The sequence below is a fragment of the Homo sapiens genome, chromosome 2 (assembly GCF_000001405.40).
Source record: "Homo sapiens chromosome 2, GRCh38.p14 Primary Assembly".
Classification (NCBI taxonomy): domain Eukaryota; kingdom Metazoa; phylum Chordata; class Mammalia; order Primates; family Hominidae; genus Homo; species Homo sapiens.
This window is the reverse complement of record NC_000002.12, coordinates 128279890-128306125: the sequence shown is the minus strand read 5'-3', so window position 1 is coordinate 128306125 and position 26236 is coordinate 128279890. Positions and strand designations below refer to the sequence as shown.

Here is a 26236-nt window from a genome sequence, read left to right as displayed (position 1 = left end):
TCACTGTCAGGGGCGCTGTTTTGCAGATGAGTAAACTGAGACTCAAAGAGCCTAAATAACTCATCACCTAAGGTCACCGGTGGCAGAGCTGGGATTCACACACAGGCCTGTGCCTGCAGGATTTCCCCCAAACTCCTCCCAGTGACAAGTCGCAGGCAGGTCACTCCCCAGAGTGGGGGAGCCAGGCGTGTGGCTCATGTCCGCCACAGTGCCTGCCTCTGGGAGGGTAACGCAGCTGCTCTGCGAGCAGGTGGGCTCGCCAGGGAGTCCAGGATGGTGCAGGGAACCTGGGCAGGTCCTGAGGGACTGCTGGCCCACCCTCCTCAAGGTCCAGCTGAATGAGTGGCCTGCTGGAAGCAGCTGTCACCAGGTGTGATGCTTCAGCTCCCCTGAGAGGATCAAGGGCAGGCAGAGCAGATGGTCTCCCGGGGGAGTTGAGAGGGTTGTGATGTCACCCGTAAGGAGAGGCTCTGCCCAGGCACTAAGCCGGGGAGAAGGTAGGCCCCAGAGTGAGAGTGGGTTCCAGCTCTGCCTGGAGAACAAGGGCCTCAGCCAGCCGGGCTCCAACCCTTGCCACAGCCTCCTTCCTTCCCGCCCACTGCAGACCCCAGGGCTCCCGGTTGGAGGGGCTCGGCCCCTCCTCTTCTGCCTCTGTTCCCTCCTGGCAGGCAGGAAGGTGAGCAGGTCTGAGCAGTTGGTTTAGCTCACGCAAGTCCAGGCAGGGCCGCTTGTCGGCACACGTCCTGAACCCTGCAAAAGTTCAGGCCTCCCAAGTCATGCTTTAAAACTGTCCAAGCAGGCCCATCGGGAAGCCAGGCCCAGCAAGGAGGGGTTTGTTACTCTGCTTTCCTGGAAGCTGGGCTGGCAACGTTCCCAGCAGAGAACATCATTCTTACAAAGTAGAGGGGTGTCAGGTTTCAGCCAAGTGGGTAAAAGGCAGGTATTGGGATTGGTGTGGCTGTTCCAGGACAGGAGCAAACCCCCATCCTTCAGCAAGTGGGTCAAATGGGGACCCAGGCAGGCAATGGGTCAGGCCAGCAAAGGCTGGAGAATCCAGAATGGAGAGCTTAGGAGGCCCTCATAGCAGGGAGCTGCCTCCTGCATGACACTGACCCTGTGCATTCCACACAGATCACAGGCACTGCCCTGGGCCACCAGGAAGGCCCTGGGGACCATGTTCCATGGGTTGCCACAGAGCCAGGGGATGATGGCCTGCAAGTGTGTGTGGGTGCTCAGTCACCCGCCCTCCCCAGTGCAGCCCAGCCCAGCTGCAGGAGAGGAAGGTAGCCATTCCTGAGTGTCATGAGATGCTGAGTGCTCCAGGGTGGGTCCTCTCACTGACCCAGTGAGGGCTGCCACTGCTGTGCGACACTGCTGTGAGCACTCTGATGGGACACAGTGTCACTGTCCCTGTTCTCTGGTACATGGGTGCCTCCATATCTTCCCAGTGGCAGAGGGTTTTTGGCCAGCATCTGACTACAGCGGCTGTGTGCATTGCTGCAGTGCTGGGCTCTCCCGAGAGGGGACCCACGGGCAGAGGTCACCAGCCAACCCAGGGACCTTTCTGGAGTCCTGTGCAGCTGTCCATTAGCAAGGCAGCCTCCGAGGGATGCCAGGGCCTTACAGTCTGTGACAGGTACTTGTTTCGTCCTCCTGCCCCTTAGCCAAAGACAGCTTAGTGCCCAGGCAGTGGTCCTGGTCCTGAGGGGCTAGAGGCCCTCCTCTCACCAGGCCTGTACCATGCACCATCTCTGTCCCTGGGGAGCACCCACACAGGGAGACCCAGTTTCTAAAGGCTCGGACACACTTCAAGAGGACGAGCATGGCTGGCAGCATCCCCCAGCGTAGGGGTCGGGGAGGGGGAGCTATATTAGGGTTCTCCAGAGGGACAGAACTTATAGGATATATAGAGACAGGTGAAAGAGGATTTATTGGGGGAATAGGCTTATGCAATTAGGGAGACTAAGATGACCCGAGATCTGCCATCTGCAAGCTGGAGAACCAGGGAAGCCAGCGAGCAGGCTTAGTCCAAGGCCAAAGGCCTGAGAACCTGGGGGCTGTGGTGTTAGGTCCCAGAGCCCAAAGGCCCGAGAACCTGGAGTTCTGATGTCCAAGGGCAAGAAGATGAGTGTCCCAGCTCCAGAAGAGAGAGGAGATTCACCCTTCCTCCACCTTCCTGTTCTGTTGAGGCGTGCGGTAGATTGGAAGATCTCTGCTCACGCTGGAGAAGTCAGTCTTCTTTTCTCAATCCACCCATTCAAATGCCAATCACAGACATACCCAGAAACAAAGCTTTACCAGCAATCTTGGTGTCTTTTAACCCAGTGAAGTTGACACCTAAAAGTAGCCACCACAGTGGCCTTTGGGTGAGGACCTGGGCACCCACACTGGGCTGCAGTAGCGTTCTCCCAAGGGAGCCTCAGCCATTTATTTCTAGGCACCTCCCAGATGTCCCCTTTAGCAGGCAGCCTGGATGTCATGAAGCAGAAGGATGTTGGCCAACAGGTGGCAAGTGCCCACTTGACGGGGTTGGCCAGCCAGTGTCCCCCCACCATGTATGGAGGAGCATCTGGGCCCAGACAGGTGCGTGTGCAGGTGGGACTTTAAGCTCAGGGTTTTGCATGATTGGGTGCTAGATCTGGAAACTACGTTTTAGGTACTTCTCTTCGGTTTTGTTCTTACTGTAACAGTAATGCATGCTGATTCTAGAACTTGTTCTCAAGCACAGAGGCACTACATAGAGCTGTCCTCAGCCCTCAGGGTGGCCCCATGGGTGTTGTGCTGTTAGGGTCAGGGTCAGCCTGCTCCCAGCTCCTCTGCATGGCCCCGTGTCCCTGAGCACTTCACATGCCCTCCTGGCCCTGCCTTTACTGTCCTCTGTGATGCTGCAAAGCACCTCTTGGCTGCATGTTTGGTCTGCATCTTGGGGCATCCTTTCAGAGAACGTCGAGAGTGGAGGTGTCCTGGCTGTGTGCCTCGCCCTTGGGCATCAGGGGTGGGGCAGGCCCAGGCCCCAGAAAAGCCTGGCATTTCCTCCTGGGAATGGGCAGCAGGTCGGATGTGTGGGCCTGGCTCCTGGGGTTTAGACTGTGGGGGACCAGAGAAACATGTGGTCAGCACTTTGGAGGAACACACAGGGAGGGGTGAGGACAGGAGGGCGTTGCAGGCAGAAGATGCCGTGAGCAAGGACCTCAAGGGCAGGCCGTCGGGGGAGAAGAGGCTGGAGCAGCTGAGAGGCCAGGCCTTGCCCTGTACAGAGCAGGGAACTGGCCGGCTGTCTTCCCAAAAGAGGCCTTGGGAGGGTGGACTCAGATGGGGGCCGTTGCGGAAGAGGCCCCACCACAGAGCCGTTGGAATGGAAGACCTAGCCACAATGGGAGACCTAGCCTCAAGGGCTGGGCCTGAATCAGGAAATGCCTTGAAGCCCCGTGGTGGCAGGGGCTTGGTGGGGAGCATCCCAAGTGCAGCTTGAGGGAGTGAGGGGAGGGGAGCCAGCCACCAGGCACAGGAGTAGCAGGGGGTTTGGGAGGGAGCCACCATGTCAAGGAGCCACTCAGTCACCAGCACCTGCGTGCAGAGCTATTCCTGGGCCCCAAGAGAGGACTGGGTCCACCCTTGGGGAACCGTTAGCCCTACACCTAGAGGAGCTGCAGATGGTCACAGGGCTGGGGCTGGGAGGGAGTGGATCAGATGGGAGTGTCTTCAGCTGGATGCTTAGTGAGAGAGTCCCACACATGCACTCCCACATGTGAACACACCACGTACACATCAGTAAACATGCAGACACACATGCACGCCAGCCTTGGCTGCACAGCTCCAGCTCAGCCTGACCCATGTGTGCTGCCCATGGCATTCTTTGACCTCAAGGTCCCCAGTTTAGCAGGCGGCCAGTGAGTCATGGGGCCTGAGACCAGGTATCCTCCCCTAGTTACACCTCTCAGACTCCCTGAGGCAGCAGCGCCAGCTTGGAGCACAGCACCTGGCCAGAAGTCCCCATGCACAGCCTCCACTCTGGTCACACTGAGCAGTGACACCTACTGCCTCAGGGTGTCCTGAGGGATGGGACTGGCTTCAGGGCTCTGGCGGGAATGTCTTCTCATTGGGGCATGACTTTATCCAGGGAGAGGAGCTGGCGGCACCATGGAGAGCCCAGTCCTCTGCCTTCCCTCCCCTCAGGCCAAGCTGGAGCCTCTGAGCTGTTCCCACTAGGGAGACACCGGCCAGCATGGTGTCCCTGACTGTCTGGCAGCCGTGATGCCTGCGTGAGCCAGTGGGGCCCAGGAACACATGCTGCCCGATGTCCATGAGTGCCGGGGACCCCATGGAGGCTGGGCCCAGCGGGCAGGATCAGCTGCAGGCTTCAAACCAGCACACATGTACCCCTGAGGGTGAGAGGCTGGAGAACTCCCAGGGTTGACCAGGGGCTGACAAAGCACGCACGCTCTCCCACACACGCACGCTCACGCTCATATACACACATCCCCAGCAGTAGCTCATGCTTTGGCGCCAGTGGTGACTCAGAAACATTCTGGAACAAGAATTCCTTTTTTCCTTACAAGTGGTTGGCACTTGGGGATGTTTCTTCGTATTTGAAATTCCTTCCCACTGGTCCCTTTAAGAGCTGAGCAATTTTCCATTCTGAGCTGGGCTGCTCTTCCATCCTGAGCTCTCAGAAGTCTTTGAAATGGTCCCAGGATATTAGAGGAGATGCTTTTCCAAAGACGATCTGCTGTCATTGCAGACACAGGAAGGGTAGCCTGGAGCCACATGGCCCCTGGGAACCCCTGCCTGACACACAGGGCGCAGGAGCCATGCAGCCCCTGGGGATCTCTGCCCAACACAGAGGGGTACAGGAGCCATGCAGCCCTGCCTCACACAGAGGGGTGGCTAGAGCTACGCAGCCCCCGGGAACCCCTGCCCCTCACAGAGGAGTGGCTAGAGCCATGCAGCCCCCGGCGACCCCAGTCCCACACAGAGGGGCGGCTAGAGCTACGCAGCCCCCAGAAACCCCTGCCCCTCACAGAGGGAGGGAAGGCTGGTTTCTATAGACCATTCAGGAGGCTGTTGCTGCATGTACCCAAGCAGCCAAAAGCCCAGACTCCTCAAACTTTGTGACCCAGGGCTCCCATTCCTTTCTTTTGCCCTCCCCAGCTAATGACAATGACAGAGGCACTCATTTCTTAGGCATGTGCCATTGCACCCACCCCCACCACACACAGCACACGGTGGCGGCTCTCCCTTGAGAAAGATACTGGCGGAGGCTCAGACGGGGTGTGGGGCTAGCTGCTCTGGAGGGTGAGACACGCCCAGAGCAGCTGGGAGGAGGGTCTGCCCTAGGCATCTCATGGATTGACTGTGGGCACAGCTGGCATGGCAGGGGCCCTGGGTGTGGCCAGGTGATGCTGCCGGGCAGAAGTTGGGCCCAGTCCTGGGCATCCTCGTCCTCCACCTGCGTAACTCAAGGTGGTCCGCCCACCCTGCCCTTAGTTACAGCCTCCCCCGAAGAGATTAATTACAACAGGTGCTAGACAGACAGTCCTATGGGGGTCCCAGCTGTCCCTCCCTACTTGCTGGGAGAGGGACTGGAGCTGCTCAGCTTCAGGGCCCAAGAACCCAGAGATACCCCCGTGCACACAGCGCCCCAGGTAGACACCTCCGCGAACACACGGCCCCCTTGACGTGGCCCAGGTGCAGGGCTGGGGGCAGGCGTACTGTGGAAGCCACACCTGGTCACCAGCATGGCCCAAGGCGGCGCTGGTTTGGGAGAGGGTGGGTGGTCCCCCCCTCTTCTCCAGTGTCCCATCCCTGCCAGGGTCCAGGTAGGGATGGTAGCTGTGTCCTGGGGCTGCAGGCCCTCTCCGGAGGGCAGGCTCCGCTGTGTGGGCCTCCTGCACAGCCTCGTCCATGCCAGCTATGCCCTCAGCTTAATGCCGTGGGTTGGGGATGGGCCTGTAGTTCTGGTTGCAGGAGCTTGGAGTGTGCTTGGAACTTTGGAGAAGCCCCCCATTTTACAGAGGAAGCCGCTGGGGTCCTTGGTTTGGTGAATTCAGCAGTATAAGCAGAGTGTCACCCGGGTCCAGGCCTGACTCTCCCATGCTGCCCCAGCCTGGGCTTCACAAGACAATCTGAGTGCTGATGGGAAGCGGCTGGCAAGACCCCGGCCTGGAGGTGGGGTAGCCCTCTGCCCACCAGAGCCACCCTGCCTTGCTGGCGCTGGTGTTTGTGCTGCCACAAGCTGTGTTTCCTCCGTCTGCTCAGAGCCCAGGGGTCTGCTGCCCTCGCCAGCACCCCCAGCCTCCGCCTGGCAGATGGGCTGTGTTAGCAGGGCCGGGATGGGGGAGGGGTTATGAGCCTCTCAGCCACAGCTCCCTACCCTGTGTGCCTCTGTCTCTCCGCCAGCTGGGGTCTTTCCAGGCAGGCCTGGCCCACTGTGATTACCCTCTGTGCCCCAGCTTTCTGCCGGGGGCCTGGCACAGGTCACGCGTGGCCTTCAAAGACAGAGATCCACTGTGCTCCTCACCGGCTTGTGAGCTCTCTGCTTCAGTTTCCTCATCCACCACATGGGGCTGGGCCTCAATGTGCCTTCAGCTGCTGCTGTGGCTCTTCCTCATTGGGCCTGGAGTGTCCAGCGTAGGGGTCTGGAGGATAGGGCATGACCTGCCATCCACTCAGTTTCCCCACATGTCACACTGAGACTGGGGCCAGCAGAGCCTCAGCAGCATAATTTGCAATCTGTGTTGTGTTGACCTCTTATAGTTTGCTAAGAGTGGGCCGGCCAGGGCAGAGGGCTCGCTCCTGCTGATGGGCCTGTGTCCAAGGGTGCAGCTGTGGCCTCAGTTTGCTCCTTTGGAGGACGGGAGAGCAGAACACCACCTCCCATGCTGTTGGGGTGCGTCGGGGAGTTGTGGTGCAGAGCAAGGAGGGAGCTGTGTGCTCTCTGCTGCATGGCAGGAGGCAGGCACTTGCGAAGCCTGCTCTGTCCCTGCAAAGAACAGAAACTGGGTCCTTGGCTAGGTCACACCTCGGCCCTGGGCCACGTCCAGGTGTGTTTCTGCCCCATCTGAGGCCGATTCTGGTGCCCTTGGCCTCTGGTCCTCTCATTCCGAGAGCCGAGGAGTACCCCACACAGTCATGCAGGAGGGAGAGGGAGTGAGGGGTGGGTTAGGCCTGGGCCAGCCCCACTGGTGGGCCCAGGGTGGCCGCGCCCAGGGACGTGCTGCTTTCCCTCCTGAGAAGCTGTTGGGACTTGGCTCTTGAGGACACTCGTTGTGGGAAAGCCTTTTTTTGTTTTTTATTGTGGTGAAGTATGCATAACATAAAATTTACCATTCTAACCATTTTTGAGTGTACAGTTCAGTGGCATGAAGTACATTCACATTGTACAGTCATCACCATCATCCGTCTCCAGAACTTTTTCATCTTCCCAAACTGAGCTCTGACCCCATTAAACACGAACTCCTCATTCCCCTCCCTCCAGCCTCTCACGCCGTCCATCCTACTTCCTGACTATGAATTTGGCTACTCTAGATAGCGGATTTAAGTGGAATTATATGATACTGTCTTTTCACGACTGGCTTAGCATAATGTCTTTAAGGTTCATCCATATTTTATCCTGTGTCAGAATCGCCTTCCTTTTTAGGGCTGAGTAATACTCCATCGTCTATATGTACCATATTTTGCTCATCATCCCTTCATCTGTCAGTGGACTCTTGGCTGCTCCCTTCTTGCTATTGTGAATGATGCTGCTGGGAACATGGGTGTACAAATATCTGTTTAAGTCTCTGCTTTTAGATTGTTTGGGAATATATCTAAAAGAGGAATTGCTAGATCATATGGTAATTCTGTATCTCATTTTTTTTGAGAAACCACCATACTGCTTTCTACAGTAGCTGTACCATTTTACCTTCCCACCAGCACTGCAGAAGGGTTCCAGTTTCTCTACATCCTTGCTAACATTTCTTCCTGTTTTTTGATAATAGCCAGTCTGATGGATGTGAAGTGGAATCTCATTGTGGTATTGATTTGCATTTCCCTAATGGCTAACGATGTTCATCTTATATCTGCTTGTTGGCCATTGGTCTGTCTTCTTTGGGGAAATGTCTACTCAAATGTCGCACATTTTTTAATTGGGTTGTTAAGTTATAGGAGTTCTTTATATATTCTGGATATTAATCTCTTATCAGATATATGATTTACAAATATTTTCTTCCATTCTGTGGGTTGCGTTTCACTCTGTTGATACTATCCTTTGATGCACAAATATTTTCAATTTTTTGTTTTGTTTTGTTTTTGAAACAGAGTTTCACTCTTGTTGCCCAGGCTGTAGTGCAATGGTGTCATCTCGGCTCACCGCAACCTCTGCTTCCCAGGTTCAAGCGATTCTCGTGCCTCAGCCTCCTGAGTCGCTGGGATTACAGGCATGTGCCACCACGCCCAGCTAATTTCTGTATTTTTAGTAGAGACGGGGTTTCTCCATGTTGGTCAGGCTGGTCTCGAACTCCTGACCTCATGATCAGGTGGATCACCCACCTCGGCCTCCCAAAGTGCTAGAATTATAGGCATAAGCCACCATGCCCAGCCTAAATGTTTTTAATTTTGATGAAGCCCAATTAATCTAGCTTTTCTTTTGTTACCTGTGTTTGGATGTCATATTCAAGAGATCATTGCCAAATCTAGTATCATAAAGCTTTTTTCCTGTGTTCTAAGAGTTGACAGTTTTAGGTCTTACCATTGGTCATTAATCCATTTTGAGTTAATTTCTATGTATAATGTTAGATAAGGGTCCAATTTCCTTCTTTTACATGTGGAAATCCAGTTTCCCCAGCACCATTTGTTGAAAAGAGTGTGTTTTCCCCATTGAATGGTCTTGGCACCATTTGACCATATATGCAAGGGTTGATTTCTGGGCTCTTTATCGTATTCCATTGGTCTATATGCCTATCTTTATGACAGTACCACACTGATTTGACTACCATAGCTTTGTAGTTAAGTTTTGAAATCAGGAAATGGGAGTCCAACTTTGTTTTGTATTTGTTTTGGTTTGGGGTTTTTTTTGTTTGTTTTTGAGACAGGGTCTCGCTTTGTCATCCAGGCTAAGGTGCAGTGATGTGAACCTGGCTCACTGCAGCCTTAACCTCCCAGGCTCAAACAATCCTCCCTCATTGGCCTCCCAAAGTGCTGGGATTACAGACATGAGCCATTCTTTTTTGTCAAGTACTTTAGCTATTCAAAATCCCTTGAAATTTCATATGAATTTTAGGTTAAGTTACTCTATTTATGCAGCAAATACTGTTGGGGTTGTGATAGGGATTTCATTAAATCTGTAGATTACATGAGTAGTATTTACATCTTAATGATAGTAGGTCTTTCAGTTCATGGACATGGGATGATTTTCCATTTACTGGGGTTGTCTTTAATTTCTTTCATCAGTGTTTTGTAGTTTTTAGTTTACAAGTATTTCACTTCATTGGTTAAGTCTCCTCCTAAATATTTTACACTTTCTGATGCCAACAAAAACATAATTGTTTTGTTAATTTCCTTCTTGTATTGTTTGTTGCTAGTGAATAGAAATACAACTGATTTCTTTTAATTTTTACTTTAACAACATTGTTAAGTTAGTTTATTAGCTCTAACAGGTTTTTGTGTGTGGAAGTGGATTCTTTAGCATTATCTACATATAAGATTATGTCATCTGAGAAGAGAGATAACTTTCCTTTTTTCTTTCCAATCTGAATACCTTTTACTTATTTTTCTTACCTGATTGCTCAGGCTAGAACTTCCGGTACTCTGATGAATAGCTGTGGCAAAAGTAGACATCTTTGCCTTGTTCCCAAAGTAGAGGAAAGCTTTTGGTGTTTCACCATTGAATATGATGTTAACTGTGAGTTTTTCATATCTGGCTGTCTTAGCTCAGCCTCTATTACAAACACTATAGCCTGGGTGGCTCAAGCAGCAAGTGTTTATTTCTCACAGTTCTTGAGACCCAAGTCCCAGATGAAGGAGCCAGCAGATGTGGAACTGGTGAGGGCTTGTTGCCTGTCTTGTATCCCCTGCATCTCCCATGGCCAAGAGAGAAGAAATCATCTCTCATGTCTTCTCTTATGAAGCCACTGGTCCCATTCATTATGGCTCCACCCTCATGACCTAATTACCTCTCAGAGTCGCCACCTCCAAATGCCATCACGTTGGAGATTAGGACTTCAACATGAGTTTTGGTGGAACACACACATTCAGTCCATAGCAATGGCCTTTATTACACTGAGGTAGTTTCCTTCTGGTTCTAGTTTGTTGAAAGTTTTTATTATGCAGGTGCATTGAATTTTGTCAAATGATGTTTCTGCATCAGTTGAGATGATCATGTGTTTTTTTCCTTCATTCTGTTAATGTGGCATACTACATTGATTTTCATATTTTGAACCATCCTTTCATTCTAGGGATAAATCTCACTTGGTCATGATACATAATCATTTTTATATGCTGTTCAATTCAATTTGCAAGTATTTTGCTGAGGATATTTTCATCAGTATTTATAAAGGACATCAGTGTGTAATTTTCTTGTTATATCTTTGTCTGGCTTTGATATCAGGATAATACTGACCTCATAGAATGAGTTAGGAAGTATTCTTTTCACTTCAGATTTTTGGAAAAGTTTGGGAAAGATTTGTGTTAGTCCCAGGAGAGCCTCTCAGGTCCCAGCATGTGCTGGGAGCCTAGTCACAAGCCCTGGCAGTCAAGGGTGTGGACACCCAGGCAGCTGCCTAGCTGTGTGGCCCTGAGCAAGGGCCTTCACCTCACTGTGCCTGACTCCTCAACTATAAACGGAGAGGAGTGGTACCCCCTGCCCTGAAGTGGAGAGAAGAATGGTACCCATTGCCCTGGAGTGAGGAGAGAACCAAATGAGCCAGTATGGGTGTGCCCAGCACAGGGGAGGCAGCAAGGATGCTGCCTGTGCCATCAGCCGGCAACATCTCACGGTGTTCACAGTAGCCCTTCAGGACAGAGGGACCCAGGGCTCAGAGGGCACTGGATCTGCGCATGGTCACTCAGTTGCTGGTTCCTCACTGGGCACATCCAGACCCCTCTGCCTTCAGACTCCTGCATTTCTGCCTTGCCACACAGGAAAACCAAGAGGGGGAGGTGGTTTGGAGTAGGTCATGGGGCCCACTGAGCCTTGGGTATCCTGGCAACTGCTTCTTATTTTCCTTGTTCCTTGGAGCCTCTCTGGGGGTGCTAGGGCTGTGTCCATGGAGAATCAGCACAAATGTGCCTGAAGGAAGGAGTTTCAGGAAGCAGGAGGCTCCAGGGCCTGCCCACCCAGGCTGACACCCCTGTACCTTGTGGGCCACAGTCAGGAAATCCCAGAGCCTGGGTGTGGGAGGGTGGTCCGAAGACCTCTTTTGTCTCCCCCTCCACACACACACACACACACACACACACACACACACACACACACACGCCTCCCTTCTTTGCGGTGGAGCCTCTTTACTGCCCAGTAGCCCACCTTCTTCTCCCAGCTCTCCAGGCCCCAGAGCACTTGTCCTCAGAGGGGCCGCAGCTCCCAGGTGGGAGTGTGACAGCGTCTCCATCCTACCTGGGCCACCAACCTATTGAAACTGGTGTCATCTTAAGGACAGCCAGCGCCTCTTGACTCTGACAGGCTGCCCCAGGGTGAACAAGTTTCTAAAGGTGGCAAGTCCCACCTACCCAGTAGACAGGCTGAGAACAAAGGAAGACCCAAGCACTAGCAAGGAGAGCCCTCCCCTCCCTCGGGGACTGCGGCACTTCATGGGCAGGGCCCGGGGCCCTCCATCACAGCCCACCCCGCCCTGTGCCCCCTCTGATGCAGTAGAGTCAGTGAATTGTCACTAGCCTGGTGCAGGCCATCCAGAGCACAGTGCCAGGGCCGGGCACAGGGCGTGTATGACAGAAGAGCCATGTGGGGTCTCAGGAGGAGGCTGTCAAGTCCAGGCTCAGAAGCTGTGATGTGAAGGACAGTGCTTCATGGAGTTTGGGGCAGGTTTCCAGCAGAGGGTCTGGGCCAGCAGGGCAGGTGCAGAGAGGAGAGGGCAGGGCCCTGCCCTCAAGGAGGTACAGAGCCAAGCCTACTGGCTTCGGGACCCACATGGTGCCCCTGTGTCCCTGCAGCGTGGTCTCAGCATGGACCCCCAACCTGTGGTGAAACCATTGCCCTGGGATGTTCAGCAGGACTGGGTCAGCTTCTGCCTGGCTCAGCATGGCCATTCCACACTTAGAGGCTGACCACAGGACTAACTGGATCCTATGTGGCCACAGACCCTGCTCACATAGCACTGGCCTTCTGAGCTGGTGGTTAATCCAACCTTCCTCATCCCCCAGAGGACCCCCAAAACAGGTGCTTGGTATAAATGTAACTCGCCTTCCTTCACTGGTGACCTGAGGCCACCTGATGGTCTCTCTTTGCCCTCTGTCCCCGTGGGCCCCAAAGAATCTGGGAGCATGTTCCTCCTCTGACTCCGGGCCCTCCAGGCCATACCAGCCCCTGGTTTTGCTAAACATCCCCCAAAGCTGTGGCCCCGGGAAGCGCCCCTCGGACCATGGTCTGCTGCTGCTCTCCTTCCAACTTCGAAGGTCCCCTCCCGTCCTGGGGTATGAGGAACAGTGGTTTCTGGGAAATCTGGAGCCACCCCAGTGTTTGCAAGGAAAGTGCCCAGCAGGTGGTGGCAGCCGCCACAGTTACTCCTCAGACTAGCTTTACTCATGGCTTTAGGGAGTGACGGTCATGCTTCATTCCAGGCCTCAAAGCCTTAGCCATTCCCAGGCCTTGCTCTGCCCAGGCCCAGGCTGGCCCTTGGGCAGGCTTATGGGGAGCCAGGCCAGAAGAGGAGAAAAGCGCCATATTGTGTGACATGCCCCTGGCTCAGAGCGGGCTGTGCCTGGGAGCGGTGCCCTTCCGCAGGAGACAGGGTGTGCGGGTGGGACGCTGGAGTGCCTGGCTGGTTTGGGCCCCACTGCATGCAGAGCAAGGCCCAGCCTTTGGGGAGGGAGGCCTGGTGTGGCGGAGCAGAGCAGGGACCAGCTCCACCAGGCCCATGGGTGGAACCACACAGGCTGTGGGCAGCGGGGGGCTGCAGCCACGGCAAGGACCCCAGACCCAGGGTGGTCTCCAGGGCTCTTTTGCAGTAGGAGTGGCAACAGAGTTGGGGAGGCTGACAAGTGGGAGGCCTGCCTAGGCTCTCCCCGACCGCTGCCTTCCCCCACACCCCATGTCTCAGGTGCCCTCCTGTGAGTCGAGCCGTCTTTTCCAGCAGGAGCCCGTCAGCTGATAGCACCCCTGCCTGCCCTTCCTGCTGCCCTTGTTCCTCTGCCCGCCCCCATGGCCTTGTGAGTCACCGCCCCTCCCCTCCGCCCCATTCCCCCCGTGCCATTTGCCCTGGCCTGCTGCACACTGAATGCCCTGAATCTGGAGCCACTGCACAGGGCACTGCCCTCCCGGCTTCCCACAGCCCTTGCTGGGCTGTCCCTGCCCACTCACATGCCCACATGCCACAGCCTCCCCGTGAGCCTGGCCGCCCTCCCTGAGGCAGGGGTGGGCCCACCACCACCCTCCACATCCTCGCCGGGATGCCTGGCTGGTTCCTTCCAGCTTCTGGGAAGCAAGGTCCCAGAGCGCCGGGGTGAGGAGCACAGTCTTCTCCAGTACGTGTCTCGCCCCGGGTTGTTCTGTGTCCAGACTGGTGTGGGCGTCCCTGCCCTGAGAAGGTGTTGGGTGGGTAGCTGGGCGTGGAACACAGGGCCCACCTTACCTCCTCAGGAGCCCAGCCACAGTTAAAGCCGCTCCAAGCCAGGGTCCTGCCAGGCGTGGGCCCTATGGAAGGATACACATGGTGTGAGCAGGCCCAGACTGCCTGGCATGGACCCTCTGGGGATCCCTCTCCCCACACCTTCACCAGGTGGTCTCTGTGGCACTGAGAGGGCCTAGAGCTGGGCAGGGCCAGGAATCCCTGGCACTCTTGCTGGGCCCAGCCCCCCCGGCCTCAGTTCACCCTCCTCACTGTTGCCCTGTGCCGCCTCCCCTGCCGGCTCCATCCAGGCCCCTCTCCTGGCATCCAGGGGCCTTCTCCTGAGCCGGACCCTTCCCCACACAGCCACCCTAGGATGGAGGAGCTTGGCAGGGTCTCCCCTGGCGTTGAGAAGAGTGTGCATTCAGAGGAGCCTGTCAGCCCTGAGCAGGGAGGGTGTTGGACGGAAGGAATGGAGGGCAAGAAGCACCTATAGGGAAGCCTGTGTATGCCCTTGGGGAAGAGCCTGTGGACAGATGCCCGCCGGCGCCCCTGCACAGCTGTTAGCCACATCCTTGCTGGGTTGCCTCCGTGAGGTCTGTCCAGGGCCTCCCCGTGGAAAGAGGAGGGGCCAAGTGATGGAAAGCAGCAGGACTGGTATGAGGCAACAAGAGCCCCAGGCTGGAGAGGCCAGGCCAGGTGAGGCACACAGCCTGTGCCCTGGCTCCCTTGAGGTCCACCTTGCCCCAGGCATGGCGTCAGCCTGTGGAGGACCCAGGTCCTGCAGCCAGGGGCTCTCCCTCAGGCCCTGGTGAGCTCATTTAGAAGCCAGCTGCTCCCGCTGACGCACCTTCTGAGCTCACCCAGTGCCTGGGGCCCTCCCTGCCAGAGGTCTAGCCCCCAAGAGACACAGTGAGGATCCAGACTGAGGAGGCTAATGCTTCCTTCTGCTGCTCCAGTGCCATGGCCGCCCCAAACCTCCAGGACTCACACCTCACTGAGCGCAAACCCACAGCCTTAACTATGGGGTGCTCTGGACCCAGGGCAAGGGCAGTGGGCAAGAAAAGTAGCCCTCCCCCATGCCGGGACTCCGGCTGTCTGAGAGGGTGTGTGAAGCCCCCAGCCTAGTAATGCCTGCACGGGGTACTCACTAAAGACAAGAAGGACAGGCAAGGGGACTCTACTGGGACAGTTAGGTCCCTAGTTCCTCCTTGTTTTATTGTGTCAGCTGAGATCCCCAGTACATGCAGAATTGCCTTAGAGAGAGTGGACATCTTTGTCTTATTCATGATCTTAGAGGGAATGCATCTGACTCTTCCCCATGGGGACCATGCTTGCTCTAGGTTTTGGGGATACTTTATCAAATTAAGGAACTTTTTTTTTTAATTTGAGACAGTTTCACTCTTTTGCCCAGGCTGGAGTGCTATGACACGATCTCCGCTCACTGCAACCTCCACTTCCTGGGTTCAAGTGATTCTTACGCCTCAGCCTCTTTATAGGTGCGTGCCATCATGCATGCTAAATTTTTTTTTTTTTTTTTTTTTTTTTTTTGTATTTTTAGTAGAGACGGTGTTTCGCCATGTTGGCAAGGCTGGTCTTGAACTCCTGACCTCAAGTCATCCACCTGCCTCAGCCTCCCAAAGTGCTGGGATTACAAGTGTGAGCTACCACGCCTGGCCAAATTAAGGGACTTCTATTCCTAGTTTCCTGAGAGTTTTTATTATGAATAGTGTTTTTAGCAGATGCTTCTTACACATTTACTGAGCTCTGTAGTCTGTTGCTGTGATGAGTCACATGTATGGATTTTCTCCTGTTAAGCCATCCTTGCATACCTGGGGTTACTAAGTATGGTCGTAGTGTAATATCTTTTATATGCTCAATTGGGTTGGATTTGATAAGATTTTTGTTGAGGAATTTTTGTATCTATATTTGAACTCTGAGCTTAGCAGATGTGTCCACCAGGCTGCAATTTTCCTCTCTTGTGCATTTGTCCAACTTCGGTATTAGGATTATGTTGGCCTCATAGAATGAATTGGGAGTGTCCACTGCTTTACTCTTGTCTAGGAGGGTTTGCTTACAAAAATCTGGTTCTTTTAAAATTTGGTAGAAATAGCCCAGCACTTTCTTTGTAGGAATTTTACCCCTAACTTTTTATCTTGAAAAATGTCAAACTTACAAAGTCGTTGAAATGGTAGTAAAGTGAACCTCATACCTTTCACCGAGACCCACTGCTTGTTAACATTTTGCAATATTTGTGCTTGTGAGTGGGTGCTCTCACTTGCTGTTTACATATATGTATATCTGTAGATACATGTGTACTTACATGTATATTTATATATGTAGTTATATACATGCTTTTGCATTTTAGTAGAATCATTTGAATGTAAGCTGCAGGCATTTCCTCAATATTTTAGGAAGATTTTAAACTACTGCTTTGATTTTTGCTTTTTGAGATTATCGGGCTATTTGTGACTTATATTTGGACATTTTATACAAATAATTTGACTGACAGCTATCCTCTCTCTATCTCTTACATGTTCTCCTGGTGCCTCTGGCCTGTGGTTGGTGAAAGCAGGTAGGTCTGTTCCGGCAGCTTCCTCTCTTTCCCTGCCAGCTGGGGTGGGCCCATCCTCATGCCGAGCGTCATGCTGTGACCTCCAGGAGGCATATTGTCTTGTTTTGTGCAAGGAGGAAACAGATGACAGATGCATTCCTTGGGGAACTCGTCAGGGCCACACAGCTGCTGGATGGCAGATCCCTTAGCAAGCTGGAGACCTGTTTTCTGGTGCTGCCAATGGCGCGCCGGGTTCTCCTGGGAGCTTCGTGCTGCTCATCTCAGGGACCGTGCACGTGGGTGAGCAGCAGACATGCCTTGTGGCCTATGAAGTCAGACACCTCTGGTATCTGGGAGACTTTGGCTGCAGAAGGATCTCTGAGTCTCCATTTGCCCATCTGCAGGGGGATCTAATAGTGGCGACCGTACCGGGGTTGCAGGAATAAAATGAGCAAATGCCTGCTGGGCCCTAACCTTTTTTGGAGGCACCAACCACAGAAGTGCTTGATGGGGGGCCATAAAATGGCTGGTTCTGGAGAGTCAGCATTCCCGAGTCCCCAGGGTCACTGCTCAGGTGACAGCTTTCTCAGTGCATCACCCGGAGCTGTCGCCCTCCTTGTAAGTAGAGCCAGGGCCATGGGAGTATAGAGTTGGATACTGCAGTTAGCTTGGGCACAGAATGGCTTATCTCTGGGGTGGGCTGTTTAGGCTCTGAATTTCCCTGTCTGGGGAAGAATAGTCTACATTCAAGAGCATGCAAGGCCATCTCTCCGCGGCCGCCTCTGTGTTTATATGGACTCGGGGGTTGAGGGAGCAGGTGTCAGCCCCTCTTCGCTGCAGAGAGGCTCTGTGGGGTCGTGGGTGAGAACCAGGACTTTGCCTCGGACCCTGACATGAGTTGCTGTGGGGTCAGCAGGAGGTGGAGCCTGGAGGGGTCCCAGGGACACCCCCAGTGATCCTCAGATGAGCTCTCGCCCTCCTGACCCCGAGAAAGGCTGATTACTGGTGATGATCCTGTGGCTTTGGAGATGTCCTGAGAGGCTGCTGGGGAGGCCCTGAGCCTCCCAGGCCTCCCTGACTCTCCTACCTCCTGTGAGAAAGTCAGATTAGATTGTTTTGTTTGTTTGTTTGTTTTCTAATACATGCATGGTTATATAAAATCGGAAAAATACAGAAAAAGTAAAAGAAAAAATGGCCCAGGGCACTAGGCCCAGGGCACCTGGCGCGGGTTGCATTTCTGCTCCATCTCTCCAGTTGATGTGTTTTCCAGAGTTGGCATCAGGCTGTACCCACAAGCTTTGATGTGGCTCTTTTGCCCATTGTGCACACAGATATGAGCTTCTGTGTTAATGCAGAGTCCCCAGAAGGGCTGTGCTTTTCTACTGCCATGGAGTCACCGGGCGTAGGTATCAAGTCGTGCTGGCTGGCCTCAGGGCCCTGAGCACTTTCTCACCTGGCAGGGACAGTTTCATAGCAGGGTACAAATACTGCACACCCCGGCAGGACCTGACGCTGCCGCCAGCCTCCCTCTCGGGCCTCCACGTCTCTCTTGGTGGGCCCAAGCAGCCATGGTGGATGTGTAGTTACAGGCTGTAAGGAAGAGGAAGGGCCACGTGAGTCCTCGCAATAGCCTCAGCAAAAGGCCTAGAAGCAGAAGGAGTGAGCCCCAGAGCTCTTGGCCAGGACAAGAGGAGGCCATGGCTCTGGAGACAGGTCTCAGGCCGAGCCAGCCCGCCCCTAGTCAGCTGCCCTGCTGCTCGACTGCGTGCCCTGTGAAGAAGCAGGGCACTGTCACCTTCTCCTGACCCCAAGGTATGAGTGTGTGCGTTCAGGCATAAGTGACATCTCGCCTGCCGGTGTCAGAAGCCAGAAAGTGCCAGGCAGGCAGGTGTGAAATATGAATGGGCAGCCTTCATGACCGGCGAGCAGCCCCGCAGGGCCCTCATGGCCTTGCTGGAGCCCTGCCTTGGAGCAGCAGGCAGGAGAGTCTGAAGGGCAGTGGGACACAGGTGAGGAGGTGGTCCTCACCCCTTCTGCTCATGGAAGACCTCGGCAGAGCCCCATTCCAGGTGTCCAGTCAGCAGCATCTGGGCCCGGGCTGCTCACAGCCATGCTGGGCTTTTGGACAGGGTCAAGCTCCCAGAAAGCCATCCGCCTGTTCTCCCCTCATTGAAGAGGGCTGGTGCAGAGCACCCCTGGACCCGGCGTCTCTAGCTGGCCCTGCTGGGAGGACATTGTCAGCACCTCCTCTTGTGGCCCCTACCCTGGGGGTGACTTCTAGGACCTCCAGAAGTCACAGCCTTACCTGACACCTGCTAGGTGGAGGCAGTCCTAAGCCTCACATCCCGGCTCTCTGCCCAGTTCTCTGTGCACCCCCACTTCAGTGCTGTTGGAGAAGCAGCCCGTCAGGGGACCTGCTGGGGGTCTCGTTCACCCTCACTGAGTAGGGGGGGCAGCTGTCCCTGCCCACAGCTGGGCAGTGCATCTCAGGGGAAGGGGCCTCACCTGCACCTTCTCTGGGGGAGTGCCCTGGGCCCTGGATATATCCACTGAGGTGCTCTTGCAGGGGGACTGCCCTGGTCAGGAATGGGAGTGACCATTCCTGGGACCAGGAGGGGTTGGGCGCTTCCTTCCCATCAGTGCCTTTGTGGAGGTGTGGCGGGTGTGGCCTGCATGGCACCCCACAGTGTGTGTCCACCTGATGGCTAAGCCACCCCCTGCCCCAGAGGGTTCCTTGTCAGGGCGCAATGAGATCATGCAGGTCAGGGGGCTTTGAAGGAAAAGCTTTGGGCTTCCCCCAGTGTGGGGCCTCTGCTTCCTGGTCACTTGCTCCCCGACCACCCCAAGGGGAAGGTGGGAGTCTCAGGCTCCTAGGAGGCATTCAGAGGGGCCTCCTGCTTTGGGGGATGCTGTTCCCCAGGCAACCAGGTGGGGCCTTGGTTTCTCTATCTGGGTGGGCACAGCTTTGCAGGAGGCAAGGCGTATCGTGGCCAGCAGCCTGCTCTGTTTTCTGAAACCTTTGCTGACCTTGTTTGTAAAGCCAGCAAAGATTTTCACCCGCTTGCAGACGTTGTTAGGGAAGGGGCTGAGGAGGTATTTCCTAAACCTACGCTAATAAAGCCTCTTGTTTTTTATTTTTTAACAAGTCAGTATTTTGACACAAGGTCAGAAGTTTTCCTTTTTCCCACCATTTAATAGCAGTGTCCTGTCCTTGAAACCATGAACTCATTTCCTCTTCTGACCAACCCGTGCATTTGGATGGCCTGCAAAGCCTGGGCGTGCAGTGCAAGCTCCCAGGGGCCCTGCCCGGCCTCCTGCCTGTCCTCTGCTGCTCTGCAGGTTTGTCTGGAATTCATTCCCCAGCCCCCTTGCCAGGCCTGCTCCTCCTCGTCCTCCAAGCTCCTGACCTGCAGTCTGATGAGGCCCCCTGACCCACCCCTCCCTGGCGCTTGCTTGCCTGGGTCTTTAGTGTCTATGTTCCTGGCCCTGCAGGATGCTGTGAGAGCAGGACCCTGGCTCCAGCCCGCAGACCTCGGCCACGATAGATTCCCCCTGGGAGGGAGGAATAGGAATGGCAGATTGGATGGGACAGGGACTGTGACAAGGTGAGATCACACAGCTCACATCTGCTGCACCTGCTGGGGTCCCCCACGCCAGTCCTGGGCTGGATGAGCCCTCACCCCTGCAGGGTGCTGTAGGCTCTAAGTCTCCCTACATACGCCACACACCAGATCGCCAGTCTGGGAAGTGGCTTTCTGTCTACGAGTTTTATGGAGACAGTCCCTGGGGCTCAGAGGGGCCAGGGTGACTGTCCCCAGGCCACACAGGACAGCTGGCAGAGCAGGAATCCCACCTGTTCATCCATCTGACACTGGGACCTGTGTCCCCTCTGGCTGTCTCATCCAATTCCTCAGCCCCCTTGCCGGACAGAGCTATTTTGGGGCAGACGGCACCTGTCCCACTGCCGGCCTGAGGGTGGGGTGGAGGCCCTCAGCTCCCAGTACCACCCATCAGTGGAGAAAGGCCCTGGCCCATGGGGATGGTTGTCCGAGCCAGCTGGGAGCAGTAACTGGCAGGCAGGGACACCCACCATGGGAAGGGAGACAGTGTATGGACCCCCAGGCAGGAGTCAGCCTGGCAGGGTGGAGGCAGAGACAGGGGTGCCACAGACGGGCCTTTCCTCGAGCCTCACTGGCCCAGGTGCTGGCAGACAGCCCTGCCCATCCCCCAAGGCTTCCCCTGGTCCTAGAACCTTCCCTGCACAGTGCAGCTGAGTCCTCAGGGTAGCAGAGCTGGGCCGTAGCGGCAGGCATCCAGGTGAGCAGCTTGGCTGTGAGGTGGGACAAGGCCTTGGGAGACTGGGTACACAGGCGCCCAGTGCAGGGCAAGGCAGGGCCTCACGTTGTTGGGCCCCAGTGGGGTCTGTGGACCCTGCCACCACGGCAGGCTAGAGAGGGAGCCACCTGCCCTTCCCACGTAGGGAGTGGGGTGCGCCCAGAACCTGGGGGCTGCCTTATTCTCCCCTCCTCCATACCACATCCAAGGGCACAGGACAGAGGAGTCAGACCTCCACCAGACCCCTGGCTGGGAGGCTACAAAGAAGAAGGGTAGAACCCAGAGAGCGTGGAACACTCATTTCCCTTACTGGAAAACAGGCTAGATGGGGACTGCTGCCCCAGGGCTTGGCTGGTGGTCGGCGACCTAGAGCACGCAGTAGGCACTCCATCAGCGTGTGTTCTCTGGCATGCCGCCTGTTTCCTGGAGGCCAGAGGTCGGGTCGCAGCACAGGGTGCTCTGGTGAGGCCCGGGCACCAGGCCTGCCAGTGGGGCCACAGTGATGACATCCTGGAAGCCTCCAAGGAGGAGCACTGGCAGGTCCAGAAAAACTGAGCTCAGCATTTAGGCCCAAACCACCAGGTGGGGGGTGGGGGTCTGCAGCCGTGGGGTCCCTCTCCGTTTCTGGCTCTGGCCCTGGGAAAGTCACAACCTCTCAGGGGCTCAGTCAGCCCCGTTAAGAGGGACGATGGGGCTGGGCACAGTGGCTCACGCCTGTAATCCCAGCACTTTGGGAGGCTGAGGCAGGTGGATCACCTGAAGTCAGGAGTTCAAGACCAGCTTGGCCAACATGGCAAAACCCCATCTCTACTAAAAATACAAAAATTAGCTGGGTATCATGGAGCCTTAGCCTCGGAAGGCTGAAGCAGGAGAATTGCTTGAGCCCAGGAGGCAAAGGTTGCAGTGACCAAGATCACGCCACTGCATTCCAGCCTGGGCGACAAAGCAAGACTCCGTCTCAAAAAAAAAAAAAAAGAGGGACGATGTCACCTCCACAGTATGGTAGGCGTTGCTGTGTGCACAGCACCTGGGACAAAGGGATGAGTAGCTGGGGCACAGGCTGGTGTGTGCCCATGGGTGTAATGTGGGAGGGATGGCAGAGACTTGGGGCCTTGTGTGACTGGGGACAGGTGGCAACAGGTGGGAGGGAGGCAAGAGAAGGCCCCTAGGGTGGGGGGCCGCCTGTGGATGAGGGGACCAGGTGCCTGTGTTGGCAACCTGGGCACGGGCCATCGGAGGGTGGAGCCGAGATGCCTAAGCTGGGTGCCCCTGCCCTGTCTGAGCACCTAGTTGCAGAGTTGGCTGTGGGAGCCTGAGAGCAGGGTCCAGCCAGGAAGCCTACATCCTTGCAGGAAAGCCCCCGGGAACAGGGCCGGCAGGAGGGTGGCTGTGGGGCCCTGGAAGTGGGGTGAGGGTGGGGGGCTGCCCCGTGGGTCTGACTCAGCCCCCCTGCTCCAGCTCCGTCCAGGCCTGTGTCCCTCGGCAGGTGAAAGGGCCACCCAGCCTCCATTTCTTGACCTGGAATGTGGGATTTACAGTTGTGGGGTCCATTTTTGCCATTTTTGTATCCAAATCTCCACAGTCCCAGGAGTCAGTTGCATTTTAACCCAGGCTTGCAGTGGGAGAGATGTTTCGGCAGGAGTGGCGATAGCTCTAGAACTCAGGAAGCCCCCAAGAGCTCCCTGCATCTTCCTCAGGAGGGAGCTGAGGACTTCCTGCCAGCAGGCACCTCACCCACAGGGGTAGACCCACACTCCAGCAGCCTGGCCAAAGCCCACCCCTGCCATCCCTATAATGGGGGAGGGAGGAGCGAGGGGGAGGCCGAGGCTGCAGAAGACATGCTCACGAGGACCAGGACATGGGGCCCAACAACCTCCAGCTGTCACAGAGTTCCAGGTGTAAGTGGCACTGCTGGAGGCCACCACCTCACCTGAGAGACCTGGCCCGGGGTCACCTCCTCCATGGACACCTCCCTGGCTGCTCCAAGTGGAGCAGACCATCTCACAGCATAGCTGCACAGTAACTCCTAAACCACTATGTCCTCTGCCAGGGGGTCACTGGGATTGCTCCCCGTCATTTGGGGTCCCTGCCACCAAGGAAGAACTAGGCCAGTGGGAAGACAGAGATGTGAGCACTGCTGAGCTCTGGGGCTGGAAACCTACCAGGGCCCCTTCTGTCCAGACTGGGAGCTGTTGCAGTGACAGAGGCCTGCAGTGACCCCTGCTGTGAGCGGATTTCTGTGCAGTGCCCCAGAGCCCCTAAGCAGTCACCCTGGGCTCGGGGGACACTGCCCCAGCACTGTGTTGGGGAGCCAGAGAGTCCTGGCCTTTTTCAACTGCAGGAAAGTGGGCTCGCAGGGGTGGCCTGCCCAGGACACACAGCTGTGGGCCTGGAGCCAGGTGCTTGGATCTGATAGGACAGCTGTTTTTATTTGCTGGAGAGGTGACTTTGGAGGAGGAGCTGAGTGAGTCAAAGTGGAGATGACAGCCCCCTGGCAGTGAGGATGGAATCCGTGAGCCCCTCCCCAGGGTGTCTGGTCCCCTGAGGTCCAGAGGCCCCAGATGTGGGGCGGTCAGCACCGCCTGTGTTAGGAGCTGTGGCCTGCAGCACCTGGAGCCCAACATGCCGGGCTGGGCTGTGCGCCCTGGGCACGCTCAGGCTTCCAGGCTGGGCCCTCTGCTCCTCCGCAGTGCCCAGCTCCCCTCCAGGTAGGAGATCCTGGCAGGCACAAGCGTCTTCCCTGGATTCCAGGCCTCCACCGGTTGGTGGGAGCAGGAAGGGGCTGGGGCAGTTGCAGAGGCACAGAGGTGGGGCTCAAGCAGCCTTGTCCCCACCCTGCCACTTCCTGCCTTGCAGGGACACACAGGCCTGCCCCCGACATGCCCTCCTGCCTCGGGGTCTCTGCCCATCTGGCTTCCCAGCAGGGGCTGGCAGTGCCATTAGGACGCTGGCGGAGCTGCCCTCAGCTCCTCAGGCCGCAGCCCAGCTCTGCACCCGCAGCGTTTTCAACCATCTGCCGCGGGCCGGTGGGGGCTGGGTAGGGCTGTGAGGGACCAGACAGACCCTGTCCAGGAGGCCAGAGGAAGGCCCGCCCAGTGACCCACAGTGAGGTACCACCAGGTTGGGCCAGAGTCCAGGGCTTCGGCTCTGTCCCTCTGGTGCTGCTGGACAGCCGCAGTTTCTGTTTACAGTGGTTCAGCCCAGTACTGCCGCGTCTTCACTGCAGGGCTAAAGGTGGTTTTTTCTTTATGCAGACCACTCTGACTCTTCACTGATGCACTGTGCTCTAAGGAAACGGGCTGTGATTTTTGTTCCTAGTCAGAAAACACCACCCTGGCCATGGTTTGGGCAGTAGTCAGCAGGGCGTCCTGAGCAGCATTGCCAGGCCATTGTATCTGCCTAGCCTCTGGGGACTGGCAAGGTCAGCCTGCCCTTCCAGCCTGGAGGCTGTGGCTCAGCAGGTGAATAGTTCTCTTCAGTCAGTCACAGCCTGGGTCCAGGTGGACATGGGCTCCAATCCCAGTGCTGCCCTGACCAGCCATGTGGCCTGGGCTAGTTATTGAACCTCTCTGGGTCTCAGTTTCCTCATCTGCAGAATGAGAATAATTCATGCCTATGGGGTGACTGGGTAAAGCGCCAGGAGTTCAGTAAATTAATAATTCAGTTACTCCTGAGCCCAGGCTGCTGCCAGGCCCTCCTGGCCCCGCCCGGGAGCCCACCCTGTCATCTCATTCAGGTCCCTGGTGTATCTCCCTGAATAGATGGATTAGGTTCAGAGGCCAAAACAGGGCAGCAGTTTATTTTTTATTTCCCTCCCTTTGGAAGGGAGCCCAGCATAAGCAGACCAGGCTGGTGGAACGCCAAGGAAACACCAAGAACCCAGGCTCTTTCTCTTCGCTCTACAAAGTGGGGCTTCTGCCTCATGGTCCAAGGTGACTGCTGGTGCTCCGCGGTCACATCCGCTTTCCGGTCAGCAGCAGGAAAACAGGGCAAAGAAGGCTGTCTCTAAGGACATCCTGATGGCCGGACAGTCACACAGCCACACCTGGCTGCACATCATCTCCTGGGCGTCTTCCTCCTCAGGGACTTTCTGCACTGTTTTCTAAGCCTCTCTCTTGAGGGCCACATGAGCACAGAGCCCTGTACCACCTGGACTGCCTTTCCACCCATCCGTAAGAATTCAGCTCCCCTGGGTGAACCAAGGAGGCACCCCCACCCCCCATGCCACACTTTGCTAGAGGTAGGCAGAGCAGAAGCAGCGTCATGAGGCCAGCAGGCACCAGCTGGCCAGTCCTGTCCAGACCCAGGTGCCTCCGTCTGCCAGAGGGGGCAGGGCAGGGAGATGGGCCTCAGCCCTGCTGCTCCCTTCCTGCCAAGGGGCTGGGCTGAGGCTGGATCTCAGCTGACCCAGCTCCAAGCCCAGCCCATGCTTGAGGGGGTGAGTAGCCTTGGCCTCTCTGGTGTTGCTTCCTCATCTCTCCAGCTGGGACACGCCCAGGCTGTCAGGTCACTGGTGAGGGGCTCCCTGGGGTTGGGTCAGCCTCACCTGTCCATCCGGGTGTCCTGCCAAAGGTCCCATCAGCTGCAGGCTCTGCCTGCCCTGTGTGTGTCCTGAGGCAAGAGGGGGCTCTCTGGAAGGGGTGTGGGCAGCACAGCCTTCCCAGGAAGCACATGGGTGAGGACTGCCCCCTGTGCCCACACAGCACCTGACCACTGATGTCATGGGGCCCCTCTCCAGACCTGGGTATGTTTGGAAGCAGATTGAGTTAATGAAAAAAAAAAAATCTGACTACTCTTCTACAGACGTCACCAAGAAGGGACAGCCTTAGCCCAGCATTTTCTGTGTTGCATTTGTAGAGGGGCTCCCCAGCCTGCTGCCGCCAGCTCAGAACTTGATGATCTGGGTTTTTCTGCAGGCAGAGGGGAGGGGCTGCCTGCCCTTGGGCCAAGCCAGGCCTGGTGCTGCGGCACTGGGTCAGGTGCAGGCACACCAGAGCGGTGGGGAAGCCATTCCCTCTCAGGCAGTGGCTCACATGCCTGTGCCTCCTGGGAGCGGGTCGTCTCCTCTGGGCTGTCTCCCAATCCCCTGCCCTCCTGGACCTGCAGGTGCCCCCTCTCAGAAGGAATGACACCATGGACAGCCAGCCCGGCCTTGTGGCCCTGGAGAGCTGCGCCTGAGGGCTGCTTCCTGCCACAGGAAAGAGGAGGCAGCCACCCGCCCCAAGTGGGGCGCTCAGCGGCTTCCACCCCACAGTGGGACTTGGAGCCAAAATCAGACTTCCACTTTTTCTAACAAACTGGGCAGAAGCCGGACTGCTTGGTGCTGTCAGAGGCATGGGCACCGGGGGCCCCTGGTGGGGTTGGCAGCAGGCAATGCTGATGAGGGTGACGGTGGTGTGTTATGCCGTGAGCTCCCAGCTTTGGCGTCCTCCTGAAGGTTCTCATTTCCTTCCTGTGATGAGGATCCAGGCCTCAGTGAGGCCCGGTCGCTTTCCGGAGAGAGCCATCCTGGTACCCTGTGGTGTCCCATGGGTCTGGGGCAAGGCCAGCAGTCAGGGTAGGCTGGGGAAGCAGGTGCTGTCGCTGAGTG

The 26236-nt window shown here is 56.1% G+C and overlaps 1 protein-coding gene across 1 annotated transcript in view, besides 7 other annotated features; it reads left to right on the top strand.

Annotated features, from left to right (window-relative positions):
* Window positions 1–26236, top strand: part of HS6ST1 (heparan sulfate 6-O-sulfotransferase 1) — a 53389-nt gene that overhangs the window by 12743 nt on the left and 14410 nt on the right. The window lies entirely within an intron of this gene.
* Window positions 2775–2854: an enhancer, noted in NCBI's record as "active region_16511". NCBI's record gives its function as "activates an Ori minimal core promoter by ATAC-STARR-seq in GM12878 lymphoblastoid cells {active_cell/tissue: GM12878}" and the evidence as "EXISTENCE:reporter gene assay evidence [ECO:0000049][PMID:35858748]".
* Window positions 4389–4987: an enhancer, noted in NCBI's record as "H3K4me1 hESC enhancer chr2:129058713-129059311 (GRCh37/hg19 assembly coordinates)". NCBI's record gives its function as "activates a minimal SCP1, AML or CMV promoter by ChIP-STARR-seq in naive H9 embryonic stem cells {active_cell/tissue: H9 hESC(naive)}" and the evidence as "EXISTENCE:reporter gene assay evidence [ECO:0000049][PMID:30033119]".
* Window positions 4988–5585: an enhancer, noted in NCBI's record as "H3K4me1 hESC enhancer chr2:129058115-129058712 (GRCh37/hg19 assembly coordinates)". NCBI's record gives its function as "activates a minimal SCP1, AML or CMV promoter by ChIP-STARR-seq in naive and primed H9 embryonic stem cells {active_cell/tissue: H9 hESC(naive and primed)}" and the evidence as "EXISTENCE:reporter gene assay evidence [ECO:0000049][PMID:30033119]".
* Window positions 5586–6184: an enhancer, noted in NCBI's record as "H3K27ac-H3K4me1 hESC enhancer chr2:129057516-129058114 (GRCh37/hg19 assembly coordinates)". NCBI's record gives its function as "activates a minimal SCP1, AML or CMV promoter by ChIP-STARR-seq in naive H9 embryonic stem cells {active_cell/tissue: H9 hESC(naive)}" and the evidence as "EXISTENCE:reporter gene assay evidence [ECO:0000049][PMID:30033119]".
* Window positions 10456–11005: an enhancer, noted in NCBI's record as "H3K4me1 hESC enhancer chr2:129052695-129053244 (GRCh37/hg19 assembly coordinates)". NCBI's record gives its function as "activates a minimal SCP1, AML or CMV promoter by ChIP-STARR-seq in naive H9 embryonic stem cells {active_cell/tissue: H9 hESC(naive)}" and the evidence as "EXISTENCE:reporter gene assay evidence [ECO:0000049][PMID:30033119]".
* Window positions 17464–18293: an enhancer, noted in NCBI's record as "H3K27ac-H3K4me1 hESC enhancer chr2:129045407-129046236 (GRCh37/hg19 assembly coordinates)". NCBI's record gives its function as "activates a minimal SCP1, AML or CMV promoter by ChIP-STARR-seq in primed H9 embryonic stem cells {active_cell/tissue: H9 hESC(primed)}" and the evidence as "EXISTENCE:reporter gene assay evidence [ECO:0000049][PMID:30033119]".
* Window positions 20788–21617: an enhancer, noted in NCBI's record as "H3K27ac-H3K4me1 hESC enhancer chr2:129042083-129042912 (GRCh37/hg19 assembly coordinates)". NCBI's record gives its function as "activates a minimal SCP1, AML or CMV promoter by ChIP-STARR-seq in naive H9 embryonic stem cells {active_cell/tissue: H9 hESC(naive)}" and the evidence as "EXISTENCE:reporter gene assay evidence [ECO:0000049][PMID:30033119]".